At 43.9% G+C, this 25,579-nt stretch overlaps 2 pseudogenes across 5 annotated transcripts in view, besides 7 other annotated features; one reads left to right on the top strand and one right to left on the bottom strand.

Moving 5' to 3' along the window:
* LOC646030 (leucine rich repeat containing 37B pseudogene) lies at positions 1-24,362 on the top strand (annotated as a pseudogene). Its single transcript, NR_146737.1, has 7 exons — positions 1-346; positions 553-669; positions 13,829-13,900; positions 16,840-16,911; positions 19,736-19,805; positions 20,456-20,536; positions 24,300-24,362. The product of NR_146737.1 is annotated as a leucine rich repeat containing 37B pseudogene (transcript).
* LOC107984974 (SMAD specific E3 ubiquitin protein ligase 2 (SMURF2) pseudogene) overlaps positions 12,278-25,579 on the bottom strand; it is a 38,254-nt pseudogene continuing 24,952 nt past the window's right edge. For 3 of the 4 annotated variants that reach the window (NR_171382.1, NR_171379.1, NR_171380.1), the window contains one exon: positions 23,456-25,186. The product of NR_171382.1 is annotated as an SMAD specific E3 ubiquitin protein ligase 2 (SMURF2) pseudogene, transcript variant 4 (transcript). Of the gene's footprint in view, positions 13,701-23,455; positions 25,187-25,579 lie in introns of those variants that run through there. The other variant, NR_171381.1, reaches the window with a different exon arrangement.
* Positions 12,915-13,023: a non allelic homologous recombination region, noted in NCBI's record as "sub-region N2603, recombines with sub-region N2603' within the NF1REPc PRS3 recombination region". NCBI's record gives the evidence for it as "EXISTENCE:nucleotide sequencing assay evidence [ECO:0000219][PMID:22045503]".
* Positions 12,915-13,976: a biological region, named in NCBI's record as "NF1-REPb PRS3 recombination region". NCBI's record gives its function as "recombination_partner: LOC108783648".
* Positions 13,025-13,566: a non allelic homologous recombination region, noted in NCBI's record as "sub-region D0910711, recombines with sub-region D0910711' within the NF1-REPc PRS3 recombination region". NCBI's record gives the evidence for it as "EXISTENCE:nucleotide sequencing assay evidence [ECO:0000219][PMID:22045503]".
* Positions 13,262-13,566: a non allelic homologous recombination region, noted in NCBI's record as "sub-region GUE, recombines with sub-region GUE' within the NF1-REPc PRS3 recombination region". NCBI's record gives the evidence for it as "EXISTENCE:nucleotide sequencing assay evidence [ECO:0000219][PMID:22045503]".
* Positions 13,793-13,823: a non allelic homologous recombination region, noted in NCBI's record as "sub-region D0710202, recombines with sub-region D0710202' within the NF1-REPc PRS3 recombination region". NCBI's record gives the evidence for it as "EXISTENCE:nucleotide sequencing assay evidence [ECO:0000219][PMID:22045503]".
* Positions 13,826-13,943: a non allelic homologous recombination region, noted in NCBI's record as "sub-region R85918, recombines with sub-region R85918' within the NF1-REPc PRS3 recombination region". NCBI's record gives the evidence for it as "EXISTENCE:nucleotide sequencing assay evidence [ECO:0000219][PMID:22045503]".
* Positions 13,945-13,976: a non allelic homologous recombination region, noted in NCBI's record as "sub-region R53520, recombines with sub-region R53520' within the NF1-REPc PRS3 recombination region". NCBI's record gives the evidence for it as "EXISTENCE:nucleotide sequencing assay evidence [ECO:0000219][PMID:22045503]".

Raw genomic sequence — 25,579 nt, 5'->3', positions numbered from 1 at the left:
GTCTGCCCCAGACTCTGAGCTTGCAGACTTCTCTCCTCATGGTGTCACAAAACTTCTTCGTTGATCTCCTGTATTCCCCCCAAAATGGAACCTAAAGCCTTAATAAGATTCAAGTTAAACATTTTGGGGATGATTACCTTAGAAGTGACATGGTGTGCCTCGTGTTGCATCACCTGGAGAGGTATGTGGTGTGTGATTGTCCTGGATTTGTACAGTTTTAATTCCATCAGTTCTGAGTCTATGTGGCTTGGATTCTGAGAAGGAACATTCTATTGACTGTACTATCAAGGCAGAGGGAACTGAAGACTCAGATGAGAACATCATCATACTGTGGAATTTCTAATAGGTAAGAACATTTTGTTTTGTTTCGTTTTGTTTGTTTTTGTTTTTGAGACGGAGTCTCGCTCCGTTGCCAGGCTGGAGTGCAGTGGCACGATCTCGGCTCACTGCAACCTCTGTCTCCTGGGTTCAAGCAATTCCCCTGCCTCAGCCTCCCCAGTAGCTGGGACTACAGGCACGGCCACCATGCTCAGCTAATTTTTGTATTTTTAGTAGAGAAGAGGTTTCACCATGTTGGCCAGGATGGTCTCCATCTCTTGACCTCGTGATCCACCCACCTCGGCCTCCCAAAGTGTTGGGATCACAGGCGTGAGCCACGGCGCCCGGCTGGTAAGAACATTTCTTATTCATTTTATGGAACAATGTGGACGTCTTCCACAAAATTAGTTTACATGTTGAAAACCCTCACGAATTGAACGTCATTTATAAAAGTTATTTATTAAAATGTTTATAATGTAGTTTCCTTATTAAAATAAACTTTTTATTTTGAAATAATTTTAGATTAACAGAAAAGTTGCATGATAGTAAAGAGTCCCATATATTCATTCAGTTGTGAAGCTGGAGTGCAGTGGCCCGATCGTGGCTCATTGCAACCTTGAACTCCTGGGCTCAAGCCATGCTCCCACCTCAGCCTAGTGAGTAGCTGGGACTACAGGCAAGCGCCACATGCCCAGCCGATTTTTAAACTTTTCTGTAGAGATGAGATCTCACTATGTTGCCCTGGCTGCTCTCAAACTCCTGGCCTCAAGCGATCCTCCTGTCTTGGCCTCCCAAAATGCTAGGATTACAGGCATGAGCCACCACACTCAGCCCCATATACTGTTTTCTTTCTTTTACTTTTCTTTTCTTTTCTTTCTTTTTTTTTTTTTTTTTTGAGGAGGAGTCTCACTCTGTTGCCCAGGATGGTGCAATGGCGCAATCTCTGCTCACTGCAACTTCTGCCTCCTGGGTTCAAGTGATTCTCCTGCCTCAGCCTCCTGAGTAGCTGGGATTACAGGCACGTACCACTGCACACAGCTAATTTTTGTATTTTAGCAGAGATGGGGTTTTACCATGTTCCCCAGGCTGGTTTTGAACTCCTGACCTCAAGCAATCCATCCACCTTGGCCTCCCAAAGTGCTGGGATTACAGGCATGAGCCACCATGCCCAGCCTTTTTTTGTTTTCTTTTTTTTCTTTTTTCTGAGACAGAGTCTTGCTGTGTTCCTCAGGCTGGAGTCTGGTGGCACAATCTCTGCTCACTGCAACCTCTGCCTTCCAGGTTCAAGTGATCCTCCTGCCTCAGCCTCCGAGTAGCTGGGATTACAGGCGTGTACCACCATGCCCAGCTAATTTTTGAATTTTTAGTAGAAACGGGGCTTCACCATGTTGGCCAGGCTGGTCTCGAACTCCTGATCTCAAATGATCTGCCCACCTCAGCCTCCCAAAGTGCTGAGATTACAGGCATGAGCCACCATGCCTGACCCCCTTATACTTTGAACCCAGTTTGCCCTAATGTTAAAAATCTTATATAGCTATGACACATTTATCAAAATTAAGACATTAACATTGGTACAATGATATTAACTAAACTATAGATTGTATTCTTTTCCAGGATACCACATATCATTTAGTAACTTTCTCTCTTTCTTAAGGTTGTTGTGATTTTTCAAATTGTGGTAAAATATACATAACATAAAATTTACCATATTAACCATTTTTAAATGTGTGGTTCAGTGACATTAAGTACACTCACATTGTTGTGTAACCATCACCACCATCCATCTCCAGAACGTTTTTATCGTTCCAAACTGAAACTCTGAAACATTAGACAAGTTTCTTTTTAAGTATTAATTTTCAAACCTCCAGTACATTAAATTGAAATAATTTAGCCTGGGCCTGGCTTGGTGGCTCATGCCTATAATTCCAGCACTTTGGGAGGCTGAGATGGGTGGATCACTTCAGGCCAGGAGTTCGAGACTAGCCTGGCCAACATAGTAAAACCCCGTCACTACTAAAATACAAAACTTAGGTGGATGTGGTGGCACATGCCTGTAATCCCAGCTACTTGAGAGGCTGAGGCAGGAGAATTGCTTGAACCTGGGAGGCAGAGGTTGCAGTGAGCTAAGATCATGCCATTACAATCCAGCCTGGGTGACAGAGCAAGACTCTGTCTCAAAAACAAAAAAAAAAAGAAGAAGAAGAAGAAAGAAAAGAAATAATTTAGTTGAACATTCTTGGAGAAAGACTGCTCTCAGGTTATATCAGCTCCTGCTTTTTTCTGCCCTTATTCACATGCCCAGCTTGTATTACCTGCCTCAGTAGAACCTGGTCAAGCAAAAACAAATGCTGTCAGAGTGCCAGATCTATTTCCCTTTCTCCATGTAGCATTACCTTGATTTTGCTTTAGAGATTGCCCCTTACTTTTTGCTTGAAGCTTTAGGGGAATTGTCAGGCATGATGTCTTGTTCTCTGTGTGCCATGGTATGGCGGGTAACTCGAACTCTAGCTGGGTGTGTGAATAAGGGCAGAAAGGAGTCAGAGCTGAAACATCCTGATAATGACATCCTGAAGAACCAACCTTTAACTTCTGTGACTTCCTTCCCCAGAGCTACCCTGGTTCTCGTCCCTATTATTACAGCATTTTTTTAAAAAGACTCTTTCTCGCTCTGTATCTTTCCAATAAGTTCCACTCCCTACCCCCCTTAAGTTAGTCAGAGTCAGGCACAACCAAGAACCCTATTTGATATAGGAAATTATTTTAACACAAAGACCCTTGGAGTCAAATCAATTCCAGAAAAGCATTTAATAATTTATTCTACTCTGTCAACACCAAACTATTGCACAGTGAGAAAAGGCTGTGGTGGAATGATGTCTGGAAGCAGCCTCTCCACCTGAGGAGGGGTCTCTGAGCTCTGAGATTGATGACATAGGTTCTAGAAAAATACATAAAATTAAAAATAGAGAGAGATTCTGCCACATACATGCTCTCAGGCACTTTAGGAACCATATAAGCTGTTTCCTGCCCTTTTCTGGGTACCTTAGTAGAGGGCTGGGTGCGGTGGCTCACGCCTATAATCCCAGCACTTTAGGAGGCCGAGGCGGGCAGATCACGAGGTCAGGAGATTGAGACCATCCTGGCTAACACGGTGAAACCCCGTCTCTCCTAAAAATACAAAAAATTAGCTGGGCGTGGTGGCGGATGCCTGTAGTCCCAGCTACTCGGGAGGCTGAGGCAGGAGAATGGCATGAACCCGGGAGGTGGAATGTGCAGTGAGCCAAGATTGTGCCACTGCACTCCAGCCTGGGCGACAGAGTGAGACTCCGTCTCAAAAAAAAAAAAAAAAAAAAGTAGAGAGAGACTCTGCCACATACATGCTGTCAGGCATTTTAGGAGCCATGTAAGCTGTTTCCTGCCCTTTTCCGGGTACCTTTTGAAAGCCAACATTAGGATAGAAGCATAGAGGCTGTGCCACTAGAAAGATTCTGGTGAGAATCGTGGCTGCTTGTTGCACACGTAACCTAGGTAAGTTACCTGATCCCTGAACCTCAGTTTCCTCATCAGCAAAATGAAAGATGATGTCTCATAAAGCTGTGAGAGTGGAAGAGATCACGTTTGCTGAGCACCTGGAGTGTTGTAGGCATTCACCCTGGTTGTGCCTATTTTTCTCAGACCATTCTTTGCTACTGAAACGACTTCTGCAAAGAAGTTGGGGTGGCTTAGATATTGAACTGGCTTGTTTGGCAGGTTATGTTTGGTGCCTATGCATGAGAAACTGATTGGCCATTCATAGGACACTGAGCAGTTTGGAGACTCAGGACCTCCTGCATCCTCTGTGCTTGAATGTTTGCATGGTCAACAGTTCAGAAGTATGCACATCCTGCTGAGAGCTCCATAGCTCTGTAAGAAGGAAGGATTGGGTCTCTACACCAAATGCAAAGCCTGGCCTGGCACGGTGGCTATGCCTGTAATCCCAGCACTTTGGGAGGCCATGACAGCAGGGTCGCTTAAAGCCAGGAGTTACAGACTAGCCTGGGCAACATAGTGAGACCCCCCCCCCATTTCTACAAAAATAAAAATAAAAATTAGCTGAGTGTGGTGGTACATGCCTGTAGTCCCAGTTACTCTGGAGGCTGAGGTGGGAGAATAGCTTGAGCCTGGGAGGCCAAGGTTGCAGTGAGCCGTCATTGCACCACTGCCCTCTAGCCTGGGTGACAGAGCAAGACCCTGTCTCAAAAGCAAAACAAACACAAACAAACAAAAAACAAATGCAAAACCCCAGGAGCTCTCCCAAGACACTATCGGTCAGTTCTGTAAACAATCACTGGAGGTGCAGAGGAGCTGCCCATCTTCAAGGAGTTCTGTAGCCTCTGACATGGCTGTATGGGGTCAGTTCCCTGAATATAGGTTGCTTTTTCATATTTCTGCAAAGTAGGCCCCTTCTGCCTGGATACCCTTCCCATCTATAATGGCTTATTGAGTGCAGGGCCAGCATTGGAATTGTGCAATGTACAACCTGCACGACTGTAAATAGCAGCCTTGGGTAAGAGAATGGGCTACACAGTCAGGAAAAGCTGCATCTATTTCTCATTTCTGCTATTCATTCTTAGTGAAGAGGTGAGCAGGTTGACTTTATTTATTTATTTATTTATTATTAGTATTTTTTTGAGACAGTGTGTCACTCTGTCACCCAGGCTGGAGTGCAGTGATGCGAGCTTGGCTTAGTGCAACCTCTGCCTCCTGGGTTCAAGTGACTCTCCTTCTTCAGCCTCCTGAGTATCTGGGACTACAGGCATGTGCCACCATGCCCAGCTAATTTTTGTATTTTTAGTAGAGATGGGGTTTCACCATTTTGGTCAGGATGGTCTTGAATGCCTGACCTCAAGCGATACACCTGCCTTGGCCTCCCAAAGTGCTGGGATTACAGGCCTGAGTCACGTGCCCAGCCTATTTATTTATTTATTTGAGACAGGGTCTCGCTCTGTCACCCAGACTAGAGTGTAATGGCATGATCACAGCTCACTGCAGCCTCAACCTCCCGGGCTCAAGCCATCCTCCCACCTCAGCCTCCCAAGTAGCTAGGTCCACAAGTGCATGCTACCATATCCAGCTATTTTTTTTTCTTTTTGTAGAGACAGAGGACTCACTATGTTGCCCAAGCTGGCCTCAAACCCCTAAACTCAAGTGATCCTCCTGCCTCGGCTTCCCAAATCCTGGGATTATAGGTGTGAGCAGCCATGCCCCACCAAGGCGACCTTGCTAAATCTCACTTTCTTCATTTGTGAAGTTGGAATAATTACAGTAGTGACCTCTTAGAGTTGTGAGGATTAAAATAAAACAATATATATAGGGAGATTTTAGCACAGTGCTTGGCATGTAGAAGACGCTTTAAAAAAGCTGTAATAATGATTATTCTTTCTGGCAAACTTTTACTCTACTTTAAAGCCTTTTCCAATTCTTTCCAAAGCTGAGTCAAATGCCTCTTCTATGTGCTCCCATTCCCCACTAGCGCTGCTGCCAGTACCGCTGGGTTCCTTCCAGAACTGTGACCTCTTGACAGCAGGGATTGTGTCTTTTATACTAGGGTCACCAGTACCAATAACAATGCTGGGAACATAGTAGGAACCCAATAAATGCTAGTTAAAGGAATGAACGCATGAATGAATGTCTACATGTTATCTTTGATGGGACCAAAGGGAAGCTTGCTCTTCTTATTTTCTGTTAGAAGCCGATAATGGGAGAAAGAGGCAGAGAAATGGGAACGGAGAGTACGGACTGGACACTTAGCAAACGCAAGTCACTCTTTCCTGTGGTCATTTTTTGGGTGGAAAGAAAACTGAGTGAAACCTTGTTCTAAGCTGGGTCTGAGAAGATAAACAAGCCAAGAGTTCTACCTAGACAATGGCCTGATTCTCCCTGACGGGGGAAGGTGGGAGCCAGACAAACATCCCCTTCCAATTTCCTTCCGTCTGTGCTCAGCTCCTACAAAGTATCACAGCCCACCCCCCTCACCCCCTGCCAAAGCCTTTCCTTCATAGAAGGTGTCTTCAAATCCAAGCCAGGCTCTTATCCGGTGAGATCTTTGAAGGCTGGAAGGAGCTGCAATGAGTCTGAATCACTCCCAACCACAATGGCCTTAGAATGACAGACGGTTTCTGTTTCCAGGGCGTGTTCTAAATTGGATTCTTTTGGTGGCTCAATTTGCTTCCACAAGGCCCCTGCCAACCAGGAGCTGAGATGAGCAGTTTGCATAGATCAAATTATTGAACTTCAAAACACCCATGAAAAATTGTGAAAACAAAACAACAGCAGAAGTACAAAGTACGAAGAGATGTGGTTTCCCAGGAGCACGTGTGAAAAATGACTTTGCAGTCCAGATGCCTGCAGGCCCAGCATGAGTCAGCTGAAGGATGTGGAGGCCAAAAAACCTCAGACAAGTCTGGACCAAGCAGAGCTTCCAGAAAAAGAAAGGTGACGGCCAACTCCACTCCACACTGGCCGGACCACCCTGGAGGAGGGCTGGCTCCCTCTAGATGCCATCATGTGACAGGAAAGGGTGTGTTCTGAGTGGAGTTACCAAGATTGGGAGGGGTTGGGAGAGGACTCAAAAGTTGGACAAGAGGAGAGGAGATGTGTACCCTGCGGAAGAAAGTGGTTAGTGTCAGGGTGGTCTTCTGCCTGCAGCTTCTGCTTGTTAGTCCTTCCCCTCCTGTCATCCTGGAGAAGGCCTATTCATCCCTTAGGCCTCAGCGCCTGCCACCTGTTCTGAGAAGCCTTCCCTCACCTCTGTAAGCAGAACCAGCCACACCTGCATTTGGACCTCCTTCTCCTGCACTGGGAGTCAGGTCCCTTCATTACAGCACACCTCCTGTGGAAGAATGTTTTGAGTGTATGGCTAGGCAGGGACCTCGTCCTACTTATCTTTGCATGCCTACTGCCTGGTACAGTGATCACTCTTCAAATGTCTGATGAATTAAATTGTTGGCATGAAAACTGGCACCAAACATTTTGACCATGAGGAAGAGAGATTGTATTTTTTCTAGGTGGCCCAAAAAGACGGAACTGGAAGAGAGGGTGGTGATTACAAGAAAGTGGATTTCAGCTCAAAATCAGGAAGTACTTTATAATAGTAATGACAGCAATTTTATTGTGTGTTTTAGTCACCTATTGCTGCATAATAAATTGCTCCAAAATTTGAGGCCTAAAACAACAATAAGTGTTTATGATCTCACACACTGTATATGGGTTAGGAATTCAGGAGCAGCTTAGAAGAGTGGTTCTAGCTTAGGATCTGTCATGAGTTTGTAGTCAAGATACTAACTGGGGCTGTAGTCATCTGAAGGCTTAATTGGGGCTGGAGGATTGGCTGCAAGATGGCTGGATTGGCTGGGCATGGTGGCTAATCCCTGTAATCCCAGCAATTTGGGACTCTGAGGTGGGAGGATCACTTGAGCCCAGGAGTTTGAGACCAGCCTGGACATCATAGGGAGACTCTGTCTCTACAAAAAACACAAAAATCAGCTGGGTGTGGTGGCACATCCTGTAGTCCCAGCTACTCAGGAGGCTGAGGTGGGAGGATCACTTGAGCGAGATTGTGACATAAGATTGCCATGGTAAAATGGAGCAGATCTGGACCCGAGCCAAATAAATGTGGCATAAATAAAGGTGTCATAAAGACAGGGCGGGGCGCACGCTTATAAGGGGCATGAGCATCTCAGGGCTGCCAGAATGGCTCCCAATCAGTGCACGGCACTAGCATGTGTCATGTCCTGGCTGCGTTTCTGGGGCCCGTGGCCCCTCCTTACGTGGCAGCTATTGTGTCTCCTAGTGGCAATTATTGTGTCTACTAGTCAAGGAGGCTCCACATCTGGTGTTGGTCAAGGACCCGCTCCAGCTGACCTCTAACCCCTGGGGTCACCTGAGCCCTGGTCTTCCCGCTCCTCCCATCTCCCATGGGAATCTCCTCATGCACCTGCTCCCCCAGCAGCCCCAGGGGACTTTGATTACCTGGGGCCCTCTGCTTCCTCACAGGTGTCAGCCCTGCCCCAGGAATCAAATGAAAATTTGGTTCCATTCCTGGATACGGATTCAGGTGGAGAGCTGCCCCTGGGGCCAGAGCAGTTCTTGGCTGCACATCAGGATTTAAATGACAAGCGGACTCCACAAGAAAGGCTCCCAGAGGTGGTTCCACTGCTGGACAGGGATCAGAACCAGACCCTAGTTCAGCTTCCTCGCCTCAAAAGTAAGTTTCAAACTGCAGATCTAGATCGGGCTGCAGGTCATCAGGCAGATGAAATACTTGTTCCGCTAGACAGTAAGGTTTCAAAACCAACCAAATTTGTTGTTTTTCCAAAGAACTTGAAGAAAGATCTAGCTGAGCGTTGGAGCCTTGCTAAGATTGTCGGGATTCCACACCAATTATACAAACCTCAGCGTCAGAAACAGACTTTGCAGATGAATATTTGAGTATGGACACACTGTATTCCGGCAGCCTGCCTCCAGAACTCCGGGTGAATGCAGATGAGCCTCCAGGGCCTCCTGAGCAAGTTGGACTTTCTCAATTCCATCTAGAGCCTGAAACTCAAAATCCAGAGACCCTTGAAGACATCCAGTCCTCTTCACTCCAGGAAGAAACCCCAGCACAGCTTCCACTGCTCCCTCAGGAGGTAGAACCTTCAACCCAGCAGGAGGCCCCAGCTCTGCCTCCAGAGTCCTCTATGGAGAGTCTAGCTCAAACTCCACTGAATCATGAAGTGACAGTTCAACCTCCAGGTTGCTCATTACAACTTTCCCAACGTTACAGTCAAACCTGCAGATGTGGAAGTTACCATGACTTCAGAGCCCAAAAATGAGACAGAATCTTCCCAAGCCCAGCAGGAGGCCCCAATTCAGCCTCCAGAGGAGGTGGCACCTTCTGCAACCCAACAGGAGGCCCCAACTGAGCCTCCAGGTCCTCCTATGGAGCCTGAACTTTCCCCCAGTGAACAGGAGCAGCCAGCTCAGCCTTCTGAGTCTTCTGGAGAGGTTGAATCTTCTCCAGCCCAGCACGAGACCCCAGCTCAGCCTCCAGAAGAGATGGAACCATCTGCATTCCAAGAGGAGGCCCCAACTGAGCCTCCACGTCCTCCTATAGAGCCTGAACTTTCCCCCAGTGAGCAGGAGCAGCTAGCTCAGCCTTCTGAGTCTTCTGGGGAGGTTGAATCTTCTCCAACCCAGCAGGAGACCCCAGCTCAGCCCCCAGAACATCATGAAGTCCCAGTTTCACCTTCAGGTTACCATGAAACTCAGCATTCAGATTTTCCCAATGTCTCTGTTAAGCCTCCAGACGTGCAGCTCACTATAGCAACAGAGCCTAGTGCAGAGGTGGAAACTTCTCCAGTCCACCAGGAGGCTACAGCTCAGCTCTCAGGTCCAGGTAATGTAGAACCTCCCGCCATCCAGCACGGGTGCCCACCTCTGCCTCCAGAGTCATCAGAAGAGGCTGGACATTTACAAATTCAACAGGAAACTTCAGTTCAATCTCCAGAACCTATTAATAAAGAGAACACCACTCCAACCCAGCAGGAGGCTGCAGCTGAGCATCCACAGACCGCTGAGGAGGGTGAGTCTTCTCCAATCCAGCAGGAGGCCCCAGCTCAGCCCTTAATGTCCCCTGAGCAGTTTCAACATTTGAAAGACCAGCAAGACATTATAATTCAGCAGCTAAATAGACCTGAAAATTATGAACCTCCTCCAGTCCATAAAGAGCCTACAACTCAGCCTCCAACTCAGCTCTCCTCAGACTTTGTAAGTTCAATGGATGATGAAGCAATAGGTTCACCTCCAGATGTGTCATATCTAGATCTAGATAGGGAGCTTACCAAACCTACAGCAGTCACTATGTGGGTAGAACCTTCTCCAGTCCAGCAGGACAACCCTTCTATTCCCACTGAGCAGGCTGACTTTTCTTTAACCCAGCCTGATCTCCCTTCCCCACCTCTGCATTCTCCTGAGAAGATTGAATCTCCAGTCCACCAAGAGGCCACAGCTCAGACTCCAGATCCCCCTAAGGAGGCAGAACCTTCTCCAGTCCAGCAAGAGTTCCCAGCTGAGCCACCAGAGCCCCCTAAGGAGGTTGAACCATCTGCAACCCAGCAGGAAGCCTCAGGTCATCCTTGGAAGTCCACTGAAGCGGTCAGTCCTCCACCACAGTGGGAGACACCAGCTCAGCCATCAGAGCCACCTGAGAAGGTTGACCCATCTCCAGTCTACAGCAGGCCCCAACTTGGCTTTTAGAGCCACCTAAAGAGGTAGAATCCTCTCCAGTCCAGCAGGCAGTCCCTGCTCAGTCTTCAGACCCCACTATGGTGATAGAACCCTCTCTGACCCAGCAGATGGCCCCATCTTTGCCTCCAGGGTTCCCTCAGGAGGTAGAACCATCTGTAACTCAGCAGGAGGTTCCAGCTCAGATTCCAGAGCCCCCTGTGGAGGCAGAACCTTCTCTGACCCAGCAGGAGGCCACAGTTCAGGCTGCAGAGTCCCCTAGGGAGGTAGAATCTTCAAGGCAGCAAATGGTCCCAGTTCAGCTTCCAGAGCCACCTAAGGAAGTTGCAGCTCAACCTCCAGCTCATTATGAGGTGACAGTCCCAACACTAGGCCAGGATCCAGCTCAGAATTCAACATTGCCCAGTGTCACTGTTCAACCTTTGGACCTGGGACTTACCATCATTCCAGAATCAACGACAGAGGTTGAACTTTCTCCAACCATGCAGGAGACCCCAACTCAGCCTCCTAAGAAAGCTCTACAACAACTTGTACTATATCAAGAGGTAAAAATTCCAACACCAGGTCAGGATCAAGCTCAGCATCCAATGTCACCCAGCATTACAGTTCAACCTTTGGACCTGGGACTTACCATCACTCCAGAACCCACTATGGAGGTTGAACATTCTACACCCCTGAAGAGAACTATAGTTCCTCCAAAGCACCTTAAGGTGATACTTCCACATCCAGACCAGTTTCAGACTCAGCATTCACACCTGACTGAAGCCACAGTTCAACCTTTGGATCTGGAGCTTACCATCACTCCAGAATCCACAACAGAGGTTGAATCTTCTACAGCCCTGACGACTACAGCTCCTCCTCCAGAACACCCTGAGGTGTTCACCTTCAGACAAGGGTCAGGCTCAGCTTTCACACCTGACCGAAGCCACAGTTCAACCTCTGGACCTGGAGCTTAGCATAACTACAGAGCCTACTACAGAGGTTAAACCATCTCCAACCACGGAGGAAACCTCAGCTCAGCCTCTAGACCCGGGGCTTGCCATAACTCCAGAACCTACTACAGAGATTGGACATTCCACAGCCCTGGAGAAGACTAGAGCTCCTCATCCAGACCAGGTTCAGACTCTGCATCGAAGCCTGACTGAAGTCACAGGTCCACCTACAAAGTTAGAATCTTCGCAGGATTCATTGGTGCAGTCTGAAACTGCACCAGAGGAACAGAAGGCCTCCACAGGCACCAACATATGTGAGCTCTGCACCTGCGGAGATGAGACTCTGTCATGTGTTGGTCTCAGCCCAAAGCAGAGGCTCCGCCAAGTGCCTGTGCCAGAGCCCTACACCTACAATGGCATCTTCACCACCTTGTAAGAATCACCTTTCCTCAATCATCCTCTGTGTCTTGCCTGACATGGCAGCCTTTTCCTGGAGGCCTTCCAGGGCCTTCTTTATCTCCCCAAGCCATACTGACAACTGACTTTCTGCTTTCACCTTTGCTTGTCAATTCTCCCTTCTCCTCATTCTCCTTTAATGTTAGACCCATTCTCCAGTCTTTTACTTTTTCTCCAGTCTTTTACTCTTACTCGTTTTCTTATCCATTCTTATTTACCCCATCACATCATTGCTTAACCGCTGCTCTGCTCCTATTTTCGCTTCACCCTCTTTTTTTTTTTTTTTTTTTGAGACAGAGTTTTGCTCTTGTTGCACAGGCTGGAGTGCAATGGCACGGTCTTGGCTCACCGCAACCTCCATCTCCCAGGTTCAAGTGATTCTCCTGCCTCAGCCTCCTGAGTTGCTGGGATTACAGGCATGTGCCACCACACCTGGCAACACACAAAAAACATTCTTTGTATTTTTAGTAGAGACGGGGTTTCTCCATGTTGATCTCCTGACCTCAGGTGATCCACCCACCTTAGCCTCCCAAAGTGCTAGGATTACAGGCGTGAGCCACCGCGCCTGGCCCGCTTCACCTTCTTTACAGCAGCCTGTCACTCTCCCGATCTCAGTGATGATGCTCTAAGTGGTTAAGAATTGATTCTGGAGCCAGGCTGCCTGGGTTTGAACCCAGGTCTGTTTATTAGCTTGGTGATCCAGAGCAAGTTATTCTGCTCTGTGACTCAATTTCCTCCTTTTAAACTGGGGATTATGCTAGTTACCATTTCATAGGATTGTTGTGAAATTTGGGTGAGTGAATATATGAAACACTTCATCAGTGCCTAGCATATGTAGGAGTGTTGGCTGTTAACATGATTACTCTGTCCTTTAGTTATGTCCAGAACTCCTCTTTGTCCCTGGCTTTTTATATGTAGCACTCATTTTGTGACAAACCCAGGACAAAGTATGCTATTGTCCGCAGAACATGAAGATGATAGGAGGGAAGAAAGAGAATAGGCATAAAAAGGGCGGTGTATATAATTAATTCCTGAAAGATAATGCATACCATCGTTGCTAGAATTTACCAGAATCTGTGGTCCTTGAGGTGTGGAGATCAGGGAAAGCTACATGGATAAGCTAAAAGTTTACTTGGGTCTTAAAGAGTACACAATGAGGTATGGAAAGCCATTGAAAGTTTCCAAGCAAGAGAGATTAAATGATTAAAACAGGAAGATTATTTTATTTTATTTTGTTTTTTTTGCTTTATGTTCAAGTATAGACATGCAAAGGATTATTTTAGAATCCATATGTAGAGTGCCCAAAAGGAAAAGCTTATTTCAGGGAGACAAAATAGAAAGGTCTAGCAAAATGTAGGAGTAAAGTGTGAAGGGGCTAAATCAGATCAGTTGTAATAAGAGTGGAAAGAAAAAGCCTAGGATGTTTCAACAGAGGGCAAAGCTTTGGTGTTACCTGGCATAGGGTTTCTTTCTACTTATTTATCGATAAAGATAAGCTTATGCCCATTTTTCTGTTGAATTATTTACCATTTTTGTGTTGATTTGTAGGAGTTTGTTTAGACACATAAGTGCTTTTGGATAAAATACTTACATTCAACGTAATTAACTGGCATCGTCTGTCCAAGAGATGGGATGGATAGGAAGTTAAGCTTCCGGGAGATGCCTCATCATTTGTGCCAGCGGCCCTGCATTATTTCTTGATGAATTGTGCAAACTGGGAAGCTGATAGCTCTGGAAATGAGAAAGCAGGTGTTATTTTCTGTTTCCGAATATCCCCGACAAGGTTGCCATGATTCTTTTATTTATCCTGTTCATTCTTTTCCTGCCTATTCAAGGATATAAACTGTCTTTCTTCACAGAAATTTCCAAGGAAACTATATTTCATACATTGATGGAAATGTATGGAAAGCATACAGTTGGACCGAGAAACTGTGAGTATATTCTCTCCAAATATGACAAAAAACTAACTGCATTATAAGATCCTTCTTGGTCCAGAATTTTGAGGTCTATACCTCTGAGAAAAGATATTTCCCCTCCATACCCGAAATCAACCTCTGTGGATTGCAATCCTATGGTTATTTTAAAATTAAATTTGGGAAGCTCTCTCTAAGAGGCAATTTAAATTTATTTTTTATCATACAAATAATACATGGTTATATTCTTTTTTTTCTCTTTTTTTTTCAGAGACAGGATCTTACTTTGTCCCCTGGGCTGGAGTGCAGTGGCATAATCACATCTCACTGCAGCCTTCACCTCCCAGGCACAAGTGATCCTCCCACCTCAGCCTCCCAAGTAGCTGGGACCACACACAAGTGCATGCCACCACATCCACCTAATTTTGTATTTTTTGTAGAGACGGGTTCTTCCTATGCTGCTTAGGCTGGTCTTGAGCTCCTGGGCTCAAGTGATCCTCCCACCTTGGCCTCCTAAAGTGCTCATATTATAGGCATGAGCCACCACCCCCAGCCCATGATTCTATTTTTAATGTATAAAAATGCAATAACAGGTATAACAAAAACCCTCCTTCTGCCCTACTTTCTCGTCCCTGAGGTAATGCTACTGTGTGTTTAGTATACATGCTTCCAGACTTTTCCCCATTTACCTACATACATATTTACATAAAGCAAAATAGATTTGTTGTGTGGTTTTTAAAATCTTTTTTCTTTTCATAAAGGGTAACATCTTGCAACTTGATTCTTTCACTTCATGGTATCACTTATATGATATTCTTTCACTTCATAATTTCTTTCCTTCCTGGGACTTAGAGGGTCACCCCATTCATTTAAACTCCTGCATAATCCATAGTATGGATGCATCAGAGTTTATTTAATAATTTCCCCATTGATGAATGTTGAGCTTATGCTTAGTGGGCAAGTATTCCTATAGCATAGATATCTAGAAATGGAAGAGTTGGGGTGAAGACTATGTAGATATAAAATTTTAATTGTCCTCAAAAATGTTGTGCCAACTGACTGTATTGTCAGCAGAATGTGACAGCATTCATTTCCCCACACCTTTTCACTGTTGGGTATTCACCAAATTTTTGTTGAAGTTATGGATGAATAAAAGGGATTCCATCCAAATTTGAATTTTTCTGATCACTCATGAATTTAATTAAATATCTTTATATGTTTATTGAACATTTGTGTTTCTCCTCTGAGTTTTCTGTCCTTTGTTCATTTTCCTGTTGAATTGTTTTATCGTTGTCTTCCTGATTTATAGAAGGAATTAGTTGAGACACATAAATGATTTTGGAAAAATGCTTACATTCAAAGTAACATTTTTCACAACAGTTTCTGTCACATCATTAGTTTGACTTATATAGACAAGACATACATGAGTTCTAAATTAAAAATCAAACACATACTAGGTGCGGTGGCTCACAGCTGTAACCCCAGCACCTCGGGAGGTCGAGGCAGGCGGATCACCTGAGGTCAGGAGTTTGAGACCAGCCTGGCCAATATGGCGAAACCCCATCTCTACTGAAAATACAAAAATTAGCCAGGCATGGTGGTGGGTGCCTATAATCCCATCTATTTGGGAAGCTGAGGCAGGAGAATTGCTTTATTTATTTTTTGAGATGGAATTTTGTTCTTGTTGCCCAGGCTGGAGTTCAATGGTGCGATCTTGGCTCACTGCAAGTTCCACCTCCCGGGTTCAAGGGATTCTCCTGCCTCAGCCTCCTGGGTAGCTGGAATTACAGGTGCCCGCCACCATGCCCAGCTAATTTTTCTATTTTTAGTAGAGACAGAGTTTCGCCATGTTGGACAGGCTGGTCTCAAACTCATGACTTCAGGTGATTCATGTGCCTTGGCTTTCCAGAATGATGGGATTACAGGCATGAGCCACCACGCCAGGCCAGGACTACATTTTAAAAGCAAGAAAGTCATTACAAAAGTCAGAGTAGTGGTTACCTACTAGGGTTAGAGAGAGGAATATGGTTGGAAAGGGGCACACTGGGGCTTCTGGGATGCTAGCAATAATCTTTTGTAACAATGTTTACATGGGTATCTGCTTTATAATTATTAAACTGAATATTTGGCCAGGTGAGGTGGCTCATGTCTGCAATCCCAACACTTCGGGAGGCAGAGACAGGAGGATCACTTGAGCCAGGAGTCTGAGACCAGTGTGGGTAACAGAATGAGACCCTGTCTCAGAAATTAAATTAAATTAAGTTAAATTAAATTAAAGATAAACAACATTTATGTTATGTGCACTTTACGCACATTGTAGTTCTCAAATTTTTTTGATGGGGGACAAAAGTCGAATGGCTTCACTTGCAGCCCTGACATGGTCCCATGTGGGGCTTTTGTAATAAGGTTTGGGAAAAGAGAGGAGGAAATGGAGGTTCTGCTGATCTTGGTGCCACCCAGAGTTGGATTCTGAAAGGTATATTATGATCTAGAGAGGAGTCATTAAAGATACAATTTGGTGGGAAGAGTGGAGCAGTGTGCTTGTGTGTGTGTGCTTGCACGTGTGTGTGTGCTTGTGTGTGTGTACTTGTGTGTGTGTGCTTGCATGTGTGTGTGTGCTTGCTTGTGTGTGTGCGTGTGTGTGTGTGCTTGCAAGTGTGTGTGCGTGCTTGCCTGTGTGTGTGTGCTTGTGTGTGTGTGCTTGCATGTGTGTGTGTGCTTGCATATGTGTGTGCTTGCACGTGTGTGTGTGTGCTTGCCTGTGTGTGTGGTGGTGGTGGTGGAGAGGGATGGACACGAAAAGGAAAATGGAAGAAAAGGTTTGAACGAAAGCAGAGCAGATCCCACCATCTTGAAATGACCATGACCCAGCTTTCCTCCACATGCAGGAGATAGTCCTGTGTAGCAAATAGTTGTAGTTTGCATTTTAACCTAGAAATAACTTTTTCATTTTCCAGAATTCTCAGTGAAAATTATTTGACTGAATTACCTAAGGATTCATTTGAAGGCCTGCTATCCCTCCAGTATTTGTAAGTTAGTTAATCATATTTTTGAGTTTTTAGTCATATTATCTTTAAAATGAATAAGAGGTTCAAATTAGATAATCTCTAAGATTTCTTCCAGCAATAAAATTCTGCAATTCTGTAAGTTTGTATAGGGTCTCAGCCCATCTCTAGCATTCGCTATGTCCTATGCATTTTCAGTTTTTAAATTGTATAGACAAAATACTGACAGAAAAAATTTCACATGGTAAGAAGATCTGAGCAGTGACTGACACCCATATGAACCTTGTTTTCTAAGGGTTTACATACCATCTTCTTCTATTCAATCTACAGCCAATAGATCAAATCTAACCTAAGGTCTATTTTTTAATAGCCCATTAAGTTAAGAATGGTTTTTGCATTTTTAAAGGACTGTGAAAGAAAAAAGAAAGAGAAATATGTGAGAGAGATCATATGTGGCCCACAAAGCCTTAAAATATTTACTGTCTGACCTTCACAAAAAAAGATTTGAAACAGTTGGTTTAGTAGGATGAAAGGAATTAAAGTTAACGTCAGATTGTTGCCTAAAGGAGAAGAAAATATAGACCACCTACATTCATTTGAACATCATTAATCCAGAATTTTTTGGTAATTTAATCGGAATTAAATTAACATTTAAATATTTGAAATCAGCTGAATTATAGAAATAATATTATCAAGAATATTAAGCTACCAAGAGAATAGACTAGTATTAAGGATTTCATTTCAGGAATTGTTATATTAAAACAGATGTTTAAAATGATGGTTAAGTGGTAGAGCTAGAAATGTTTACAGTAAGAAGCATATCAGAAATGCCCCTAACTCTTCACTAATTACACAGTAACTATCTCCCCAGCCCTGTTACCAAGAAAGGGATACCTGCATAGTATTTCTGTCTGTTTAGAGACAAGAAGATACTATGTTCAATTGCTATGAAAGCTTGATTCTTATCCTCTGTCCGCAGAGGTGTGTATGTCATTAATCCTTATTAGTGATGCTCTTTTGCAGACAGATTCTTTCAAATGTGAAAGGCTTAAGGAAAGTGGGTGTAAAGACCCTCAAGTGGATGCCAAAGTGCTGCAGAGGCCATGAAGTAATAAAACTACATTTGCTTTAAAATAATCATTTTCCTTCTACTCACTCCCCCAGCTATTTATTTATTTATTTATTTATTTATTTATTTATTTATTTTTGAGATGGAGTCTCGCTCTGTCACTCAGGCTGGAGTGCTGTGGTGCGATTTCGGCTCACCCCAAGCTCTGCCTCCCTGGTTCACTCCATTCTCCTGCCTCAGCCTCCCAAGTAGCTGGAACTACAGGCACACGCCGCCACGCCCAGCTAATTTATTGTATTTTTAGTAGAGACGGGGTTTCGCCTTGTTAGCCAGGATGGTCTCGATATCCTGATCTTGTAATCCACCCGCCTCAGCCTCCCAAAGTGCTGGAATTACAGGCATGAGCCACCGTGCCCGGCCAGCTATTCATTTGTTTTACAAATATTTGAATTTACTATTTCCATGTGTCAGTTTTAAACATGGTGGGCAATGCAGATGAGCAAGACCTAGTCCATGCTTTCAAGGAGTTTATGCTCAGAAAAAATGGGATGAAAAATAACTACATTAATAAGAAGAAATGGATGTGGGCACTAGGAGGGATAAATTGTTTCTGAAGCATAGAAGAGGGGAAAATGACTTCAGTTTGGACCCAGGAAGCTGTTACTAGAACAATCCCATTTGAATAGGACTTTGAAGGGCCATTGTGTAGCATCGGACAGACATCTTGGGGACAATATTCTAAACTTGCAAAAGGGAAATGGGAGAAGGGCAAAACACAGGAAAGTATTCGAGGAATGCCATGAGTACCTGTAGATTACAAGGAGGGAGAGTAGGAAATTGGAGCCAGATCTTCTAGGGCTTTGAATGCCAAGCTGCGGAGCCATCATGGGGAACCATGTTATCACAGCAGTGCTGTAAGATGGATCTGCATCACAATCATTGAGAGGGCACGTTAGAACTCAGTTCTGGACTCCGCCCTCATAGTTATTGGATTCAGTTGGTCTAGAGTGGGACCAAGAATTTGCATCCTCAATAATTTCCCAGGAGGTGCTGGTCTTTGCAAGCCACTTCTGGAGAGTTTATATGATGACTGTGTGGAGGATAGTTTAGGAAGGGAGAGACTAGAGATGGAGACATCAGCCAGACAACGTTACACCATCCAGGTAAAGAGGGAGGGAAAAGCCCCATCTCTGTATAACTGAAGAAATTGCTTTCATGAAATATTAAAGCAATATAAAACCAAAAATGAATTTCTATTAATATGATAGAAATTAATTGTATTAATATGATTTGAATATTAGTTCAAAGTTATGTATTAAGTAAAGGGGTAACTTCCTTTCAAATGCTGTTGAAAGGATGTCTTTTACTTCTTCTGATACTGAACTGGCTTAGGAAAACAAACCTCAACTAGGAAGGTGTATAAATGTGAGGCTATTCGTTTTAATATTAGTAACTATATATACAGATAAAAGCTTTGAGCTCATACTCTAGGATTTGATGAGACTACAAAAGGGCATCTAATCAAGTCTACTGCTCTCAGGAGAAATTAATTCCAAAGTCTATTAAGTTGTATATTTTATTTATTAAAAGTATGAAGGCGAGACTCTAGGAGAGGTACAGGCAGGGTTAGGGGCTCTGGAAAGTTCAACTACAGGTCCAAATGTTTAGAGTCGAGATGAAAAATGTGTATTCAATATTATTCTAAACTCTTGCTATTATTCATACTAGTCAACACTGATAACTTATCAAGGCAATATTTTCCTTTTATTTTTCCTGGAGATTCATCCTGCAATAAAATACGGTATATTGAAAGACAAACATTTGAATCACTACCATTTTTGCAGTATACGTAAGTTACAAATATAACTTTATTACATTTGGAATTTTTATAAAACTTAATTATAAACCTCTTTGCTATTCATTTTGAAATATGATTAAAATTTGACCAGTAGAAAGGTACTAAAATTATATAGCAAGTCCTTTTTGTCTCTAGCAAAGATTAGTGTGAGAATTATTACACAGATCATAGTGAATCATCAGAGAGCAGTGGTTCTCAACTGGTGTGATTTTGTACTCAGGTGACATTTGGTAATGTCCAGAGACAGTTTTGCTTGACAAAACTGTGGTTGTGCTCCTGGCATCTGGTGGGCAGAGGCCAGAGATGCTGCTAAACATCCTGCAGAGTGTAAGACAAACCCCCACGGCAAAGAGTTATATAGTCCAAAATGTCGATGGTACTGAAGTTGTGAAATCCTGTTCTAGAGAAATGAAGATCACTTAACACAGGTATTTACTGAGCGTTCACTGTTTTGTAGCTAATGCACCACATGTGCAATATTAAAGTATAAATCATAAGCCAGTATCTTCCACAGTGAGATTGCCTTAGTGCACAGAGAAAGGATTGAGGTGATGTTCCATCCTATGTAAATTAGACTCACAGCAAATGATAAATGTTCTGAAATAATTTTTTTTTCCTTTGGCTTATGTCTTTTTTTGTAGAAATCTGGGCTGCAATTTAATTACAGAACTGAGCCTTGGAACATTTCAGGCCTGGCACGGAATGCAGTTTTTACACAACTTGTAAGTGAAATAGAAGATGAATACGTGTAAACAACTATTTTGTATAAAAACTCATACAATTATTGGTTAGCTGGGTATAAGCCCATTATGAACTCTGAAAAGTGTGTCTTAAGATCCATTCGTTTTTCTCAAATGGGGAAACTAAGGTACAAAGCAGCCAAGAGACTTACACAGCTTATATATGACCTGCTCTGCTTGTCCTAGTTCTGACCTATGGCATGGGCAAGAAAAGGCATCAAACAAGTGACCCTCAAATTAGCCTTGTTGCTGGGCAGGTGGCTCAGGCCTGTAATCCCAGAACTTTAGGAGCTGAGGGGGGCGGATCACCTGAGGTCAGGAGTTCAACACCAGCTTGGCCAACATAGTGAATCCCCATCCCTACTGAAAATACAAAAAAAATTAGCTGGGCGTAGTGATGCAGTTTTTTGCTCCCTGGAGGACTTTGTGTTAAGCTTTCTTCCTTGCAGCTAAATGTTGCAGACATTTAAGCAGTTTGAAACTCTGCATATGGGCAGGAATCAAAGTTAAATCCAAAGTGTAGGGCTGGGCGTAGTGGCTCATGCCTATAATCCCAGCACCTTGGGAGGATCACTTGAGGTCAGGAGTTTGAGACCAGCCTGGCCAACATGCCGAAACCCCGTCTCTACTAACGATACAAAAATTAGCAGGTCGTGGTGGCAGGCGCCTGTGATCCCAGCTATCGGGAGGCTGAGGGTCGAGAATGGCTTGAACTCCAGAGGTGGAAGTTGCAGTGAGCCGAGATTGTGCCACTGCACTCCAACCTCCCCTCCAGGCTGGTCTCGAACTCCTGTGACCTCAGGTGATCTGCCCACCTTAGCCTCCCAAAGTGCTGGGGTTACAGGCGTGAGCCACCATGCCTGGCCAAAATGGTGTTTATGTTAAGCTATTGTGCAAAAAAAAATTTTGTAAAGAAAATACGTCGCTCTATTTTAATTCCATATACTTTCCTGACTACTCTTCTACCGTAAGTGCAAAAATTCTATGATTTCTCTGTATAACATACCCAGCAAATCAGAGTGGGTATATTCAATGGCCTGAAGGGGACTTTAGACTCAAGGTGAAGATTCTCCTCTACATCTGACTTTAGAAAATACTTTCCACCTTTCCTGTGGTTCAGAAATCTAGTTTCACACAGTTCATTTTGAGGTAGAGGGAGGTGTTCAGGATGTGTCTGGATTAGAGCAGCAGTTTCTGCAGATGCTCCTCTCTGTCTTCATTAATTTGCTGATGCTTAACTTAGGGAAGACACACTGAGGGTCTGTTTTTCTTTTGCCCTCACACCGGAGAACAGGCTCATTAGGTCCCTCCACCAAGAGGTTTGGGTAGCATCAATACAAATGTCTTAAACTCACCACCTTTACTAAGCACTTTAAAACAGTGGGAGTCCCACATAAGAATCTGGCGGCCGGGAGCGGTGGCTCATGCCTGTAATTCCAGCACTTCTGAAGGCTGAGGTGGGTGGATCACCTGAAGTCAGGAGTTCGAGACCAGCCTGCCCAACATGGTGAAACCCCGTCTCTACTAAAAATACAAAAATTAGCTGGGTGTGGTGGTGGGCGTGTGTAGTCCCAGCTACTTGTGAGGCTGAGGCAGAATGGCATGAACCTGGGAGGTGGAGCATGCAGTGAGCCAAGATCGGGCTGCTGCACTCCAGCCTGGGGGACAGAGTGAGACTCTGCCTCAAAAAAAAAAGAAAAAAGAAAAAAAAGAAACTTCCCTGAATATTCCAGCCCTCCTGAGCCTAGTCCCTTTGTGAGATTTGTCCCCATTTCTTGGACACCATATAAGAGACTTCAGAGGCTGAAGTGGGAGGATTGCTTGAGCCTGGGAGGTTGAGGATGCAGCGAGCTGTGGTCATACCACTGCACTCTAGCCTGGGCAACAGAGCGAGACCTTGTCTCAAAAACAGCCACCACCAAAAACTATCTTGGGATTTGAATAGGATTACCTTAAATTTGTAGATTAATTTGAGAATTGACATCTGTACGACATTCTAGAACATGGTATTTCATGTCATGTATTCATTTCTTGTTAATGTCTTTCAGAAGAGTTTTAGGGTTTCCATCATATAGATCTTACACGTCTTTTGTTAGATAACAGATCTTTGTATTTTTGTTCCTAAATACTTCAGACATTTGTATTGCCATTGTAAATGGGATCTTTCTTCCATTTTCTAGTTAGTTATTGGTGGTACATCTGAAAAGCATTTGAGGTTTGTGTGCTGCTCTCTTGATTTTGTTTCTAGCCACCGTACTGAATTCTCATATTACTTCCAGTAAAATCTTAGTTGATTCTCTTAGGCTTCTTTGGCTAACATTTATTATTTTATATGCAAATAATGACAGTTTTGTCTCTTCCTTTTCAATACTTACACTCTTTCCTTCCTTTCCTTTCTTTGTTTTTTCTTTCTCAGGGCCTTGTTGTCACCCAGACTGGAGAGCAATGGTGTGATCTAGCTCACTGTAACCTCAAACTCCTGGGCTTAAGGGATCCTCCTGCCTCAGCTTCCAGAGTGGCTGGGACTACAGGCAGGCAGTGAATTTTAAAACTTTCGTTGTAGAGACAAGATCTCGCTATGTTGCCCAGGCTGGTTTTCCTGCCACTTTAGAGCAGGTTTCCTTTTTTTCATACTTTTTTTTTTTTTTTTTTAGTATTTATTGATCATTCTTGGGTGTTTCTCGGAGAGGGGGATTTGTCAGGGTAATAGGACAACAGTGGAGGGAAGGTCAGCAGATAAACATGTGAACAAAGGTCTCGGTTTTCCTAGACAGAGGACCCTGTGGCCTTCCACAGTGTTTGTGTCCCTGGGTACTTGAGATTAGGGAGTGGTGATGACTCTTTTAACGAGCATGCTGCCTTCAAGCATCTGTTTAACAAAGCACATCTTGCACTTTTTCATACTTTTGGGAGTGGAGTTTTTTATTAGGAATTGTCCATTGAATGTTAGCTAAAACAGTCAATAAAATGCATTAAGTGCCAGCTGCATGCAAGACCCTAAGTTAGATACAATCAGCCCTCTTCATCAGCAGGTCCACATCTTCAGATTCAACTAGATGAGGCTGAATATTTGAAGAAAGAAAAAATAAAAATACAAATAGAAAGTACAGTATAACAACTGTTGCCATTATACAATATCTATACATTTTGTTAGTGATGACTTCAAGTACATGGGACCAGGCACGGTGACTCACACTTGTAATCCCAACACTTTGGGAGGCCAACCTGGGCAGCATAGTGAGACCTTGTCTTTAATAAAAATAAAAATAAAAAAATTAGCCAGGTGTGGTGGTATGCACCTGTAGTCCCAGCTACTCAAGAGGCTGAGGTGGGCAGATCACTGGAGCCCAGGAAGTTGAGGCTGCAGTGAGCTGTGATTGTGACACTGTTCTCCAGCCTGAGTGACAGAGGGTGATCCTGTCTCTAAGTAAGTAAATAAATAAAGTATATGGGGGCGGGGGTGTTGGTTATATGCAAACACTGCACCATTATATTTAAGGGATTGAGCATCCACAGATTCTGGTATGGTGTGGGGGCGATATCCTAGAACCAGTCCTCTGCAAGGTAGCAAGGATGACTGAACTGTGGAAGAATCAAAGTACTGTTAAACAGCATATAATGCCTGTCTTCAAAAAAGTTATCTCATCAGGTAGATGAGACTTAAAATGAATAAAAGGAATGAATACACATTGGAGATAGTGGTTGTTGTGATAGATAACCTTAATTGTGTTTTCTTCCAAAACAGGTGAATTCACAGAAAAGGCATCAGAGGAAGATAAAAGACCCATCAGTATCAGGAGCCTGAGCCCAAGTTAAGGCATCTGGATGGCCTGGAGCCATGTTTTAAATATTTTATTATTAACTCTCGGCCTTAGCGCCATTTTCTTGGAAACCTGCACCATGAGAGCCAAGTGGAGGAAGAAGCGAATGCGCAGGCTGAAGCGCAAAAGAAGAAAGATGAGGTAGAGGTCCAAGTAAACCGCTAGCTTGTTGCACTGTGGAGGCCACAGGAGCAGAAACATGGAATGCCAGATGCTGGGGATGCTGGTACAAGTTGTGGGACTGCATGCTACTGTCTAGAGCTTGTCTCAATGGATCTAGAACTTCATCGCCCTCTGATCGCCGATCACCTCTGAGACCCACCTTGCTCATAAACAAAATGCCCATGTTGGTCCTCTGCCCTGGACCTGTGACATTCTGGACTATTTCTGTGTTTATTTGTGGCCGAGTGTAACAACCATATAATAAATCACCTCTTCCGCTGTTTTAGCTGAAGAAAAAAAAAATTTTATAATTAAATATTGATTTTTACTGGTTAAATCAATGAAAACATTCTTTACTTTGTGGTTGTGTTCCTCAAAATGAGGATTTTTAACAATAATAAAAATAAAGCTTGTTAGATCATTTTTAATGGTAATAAATTGGTTCCTGAAGATTTGACTAAAGAGAAAACTAAGCCAATCTAAGCAGAGTCCAAATTTTTGTAAAAATACAGAAATTAGCTGGGTGTGGTGGCAGGTGCCCGTAATCCCAGCTACTCAGGAGGCTGAAGCAGGAGAATCACTTGACCCAGGAGGTGGAGGTTGCCATGAGTTGGAATCGTGCCACTGCGCTCCAGCCTGAGAGGAGAGGCTGTCCAAAAAAAAAAAAAAAAAAATATATATATATATATATATATATATATATACACACACACACACACACACACACACTATAGATATATATATATACACATATATATATATACGCTTTTCTAGTATTAATAAAATTATTTTATAAAAGAAGTCCATTACTAACACACACTTGCATGCAAAGCACAAGACACATCTAAGGGCCGGGCGTAGTGGCTCATGCCTGTAATCCCAGCACTTTGGGAGGCCGAGGCGGGCAGATCACTTGAGGTCAGGAGTTCAAGACCAGACTGGCCAACACAGTGAAACCCCATCTCTACTAAAAATACAAAAATTAGCCAGGCGTACTGGTGGGCACCTGTACTCCCAGTTGCTCAGGAGGCTGAGGCAGGAG

The sequence above is a fragment of the Homo sapiens genome, chromosome 17, assembly GCF_000001405.40.
Source record: "Homo sapiens chromosome 17, GRCh38.p14 Primary Assembly".
NCBI lineage: Eukaryota > Metazoa > Chordata > Mammalia > Primates > Hominidae > Homo > Homo sapiens.
Note: the sequence above shows the minus strand (reverse complement) of the source record. Positions and strands in the feature narration are given on the sequence as shown.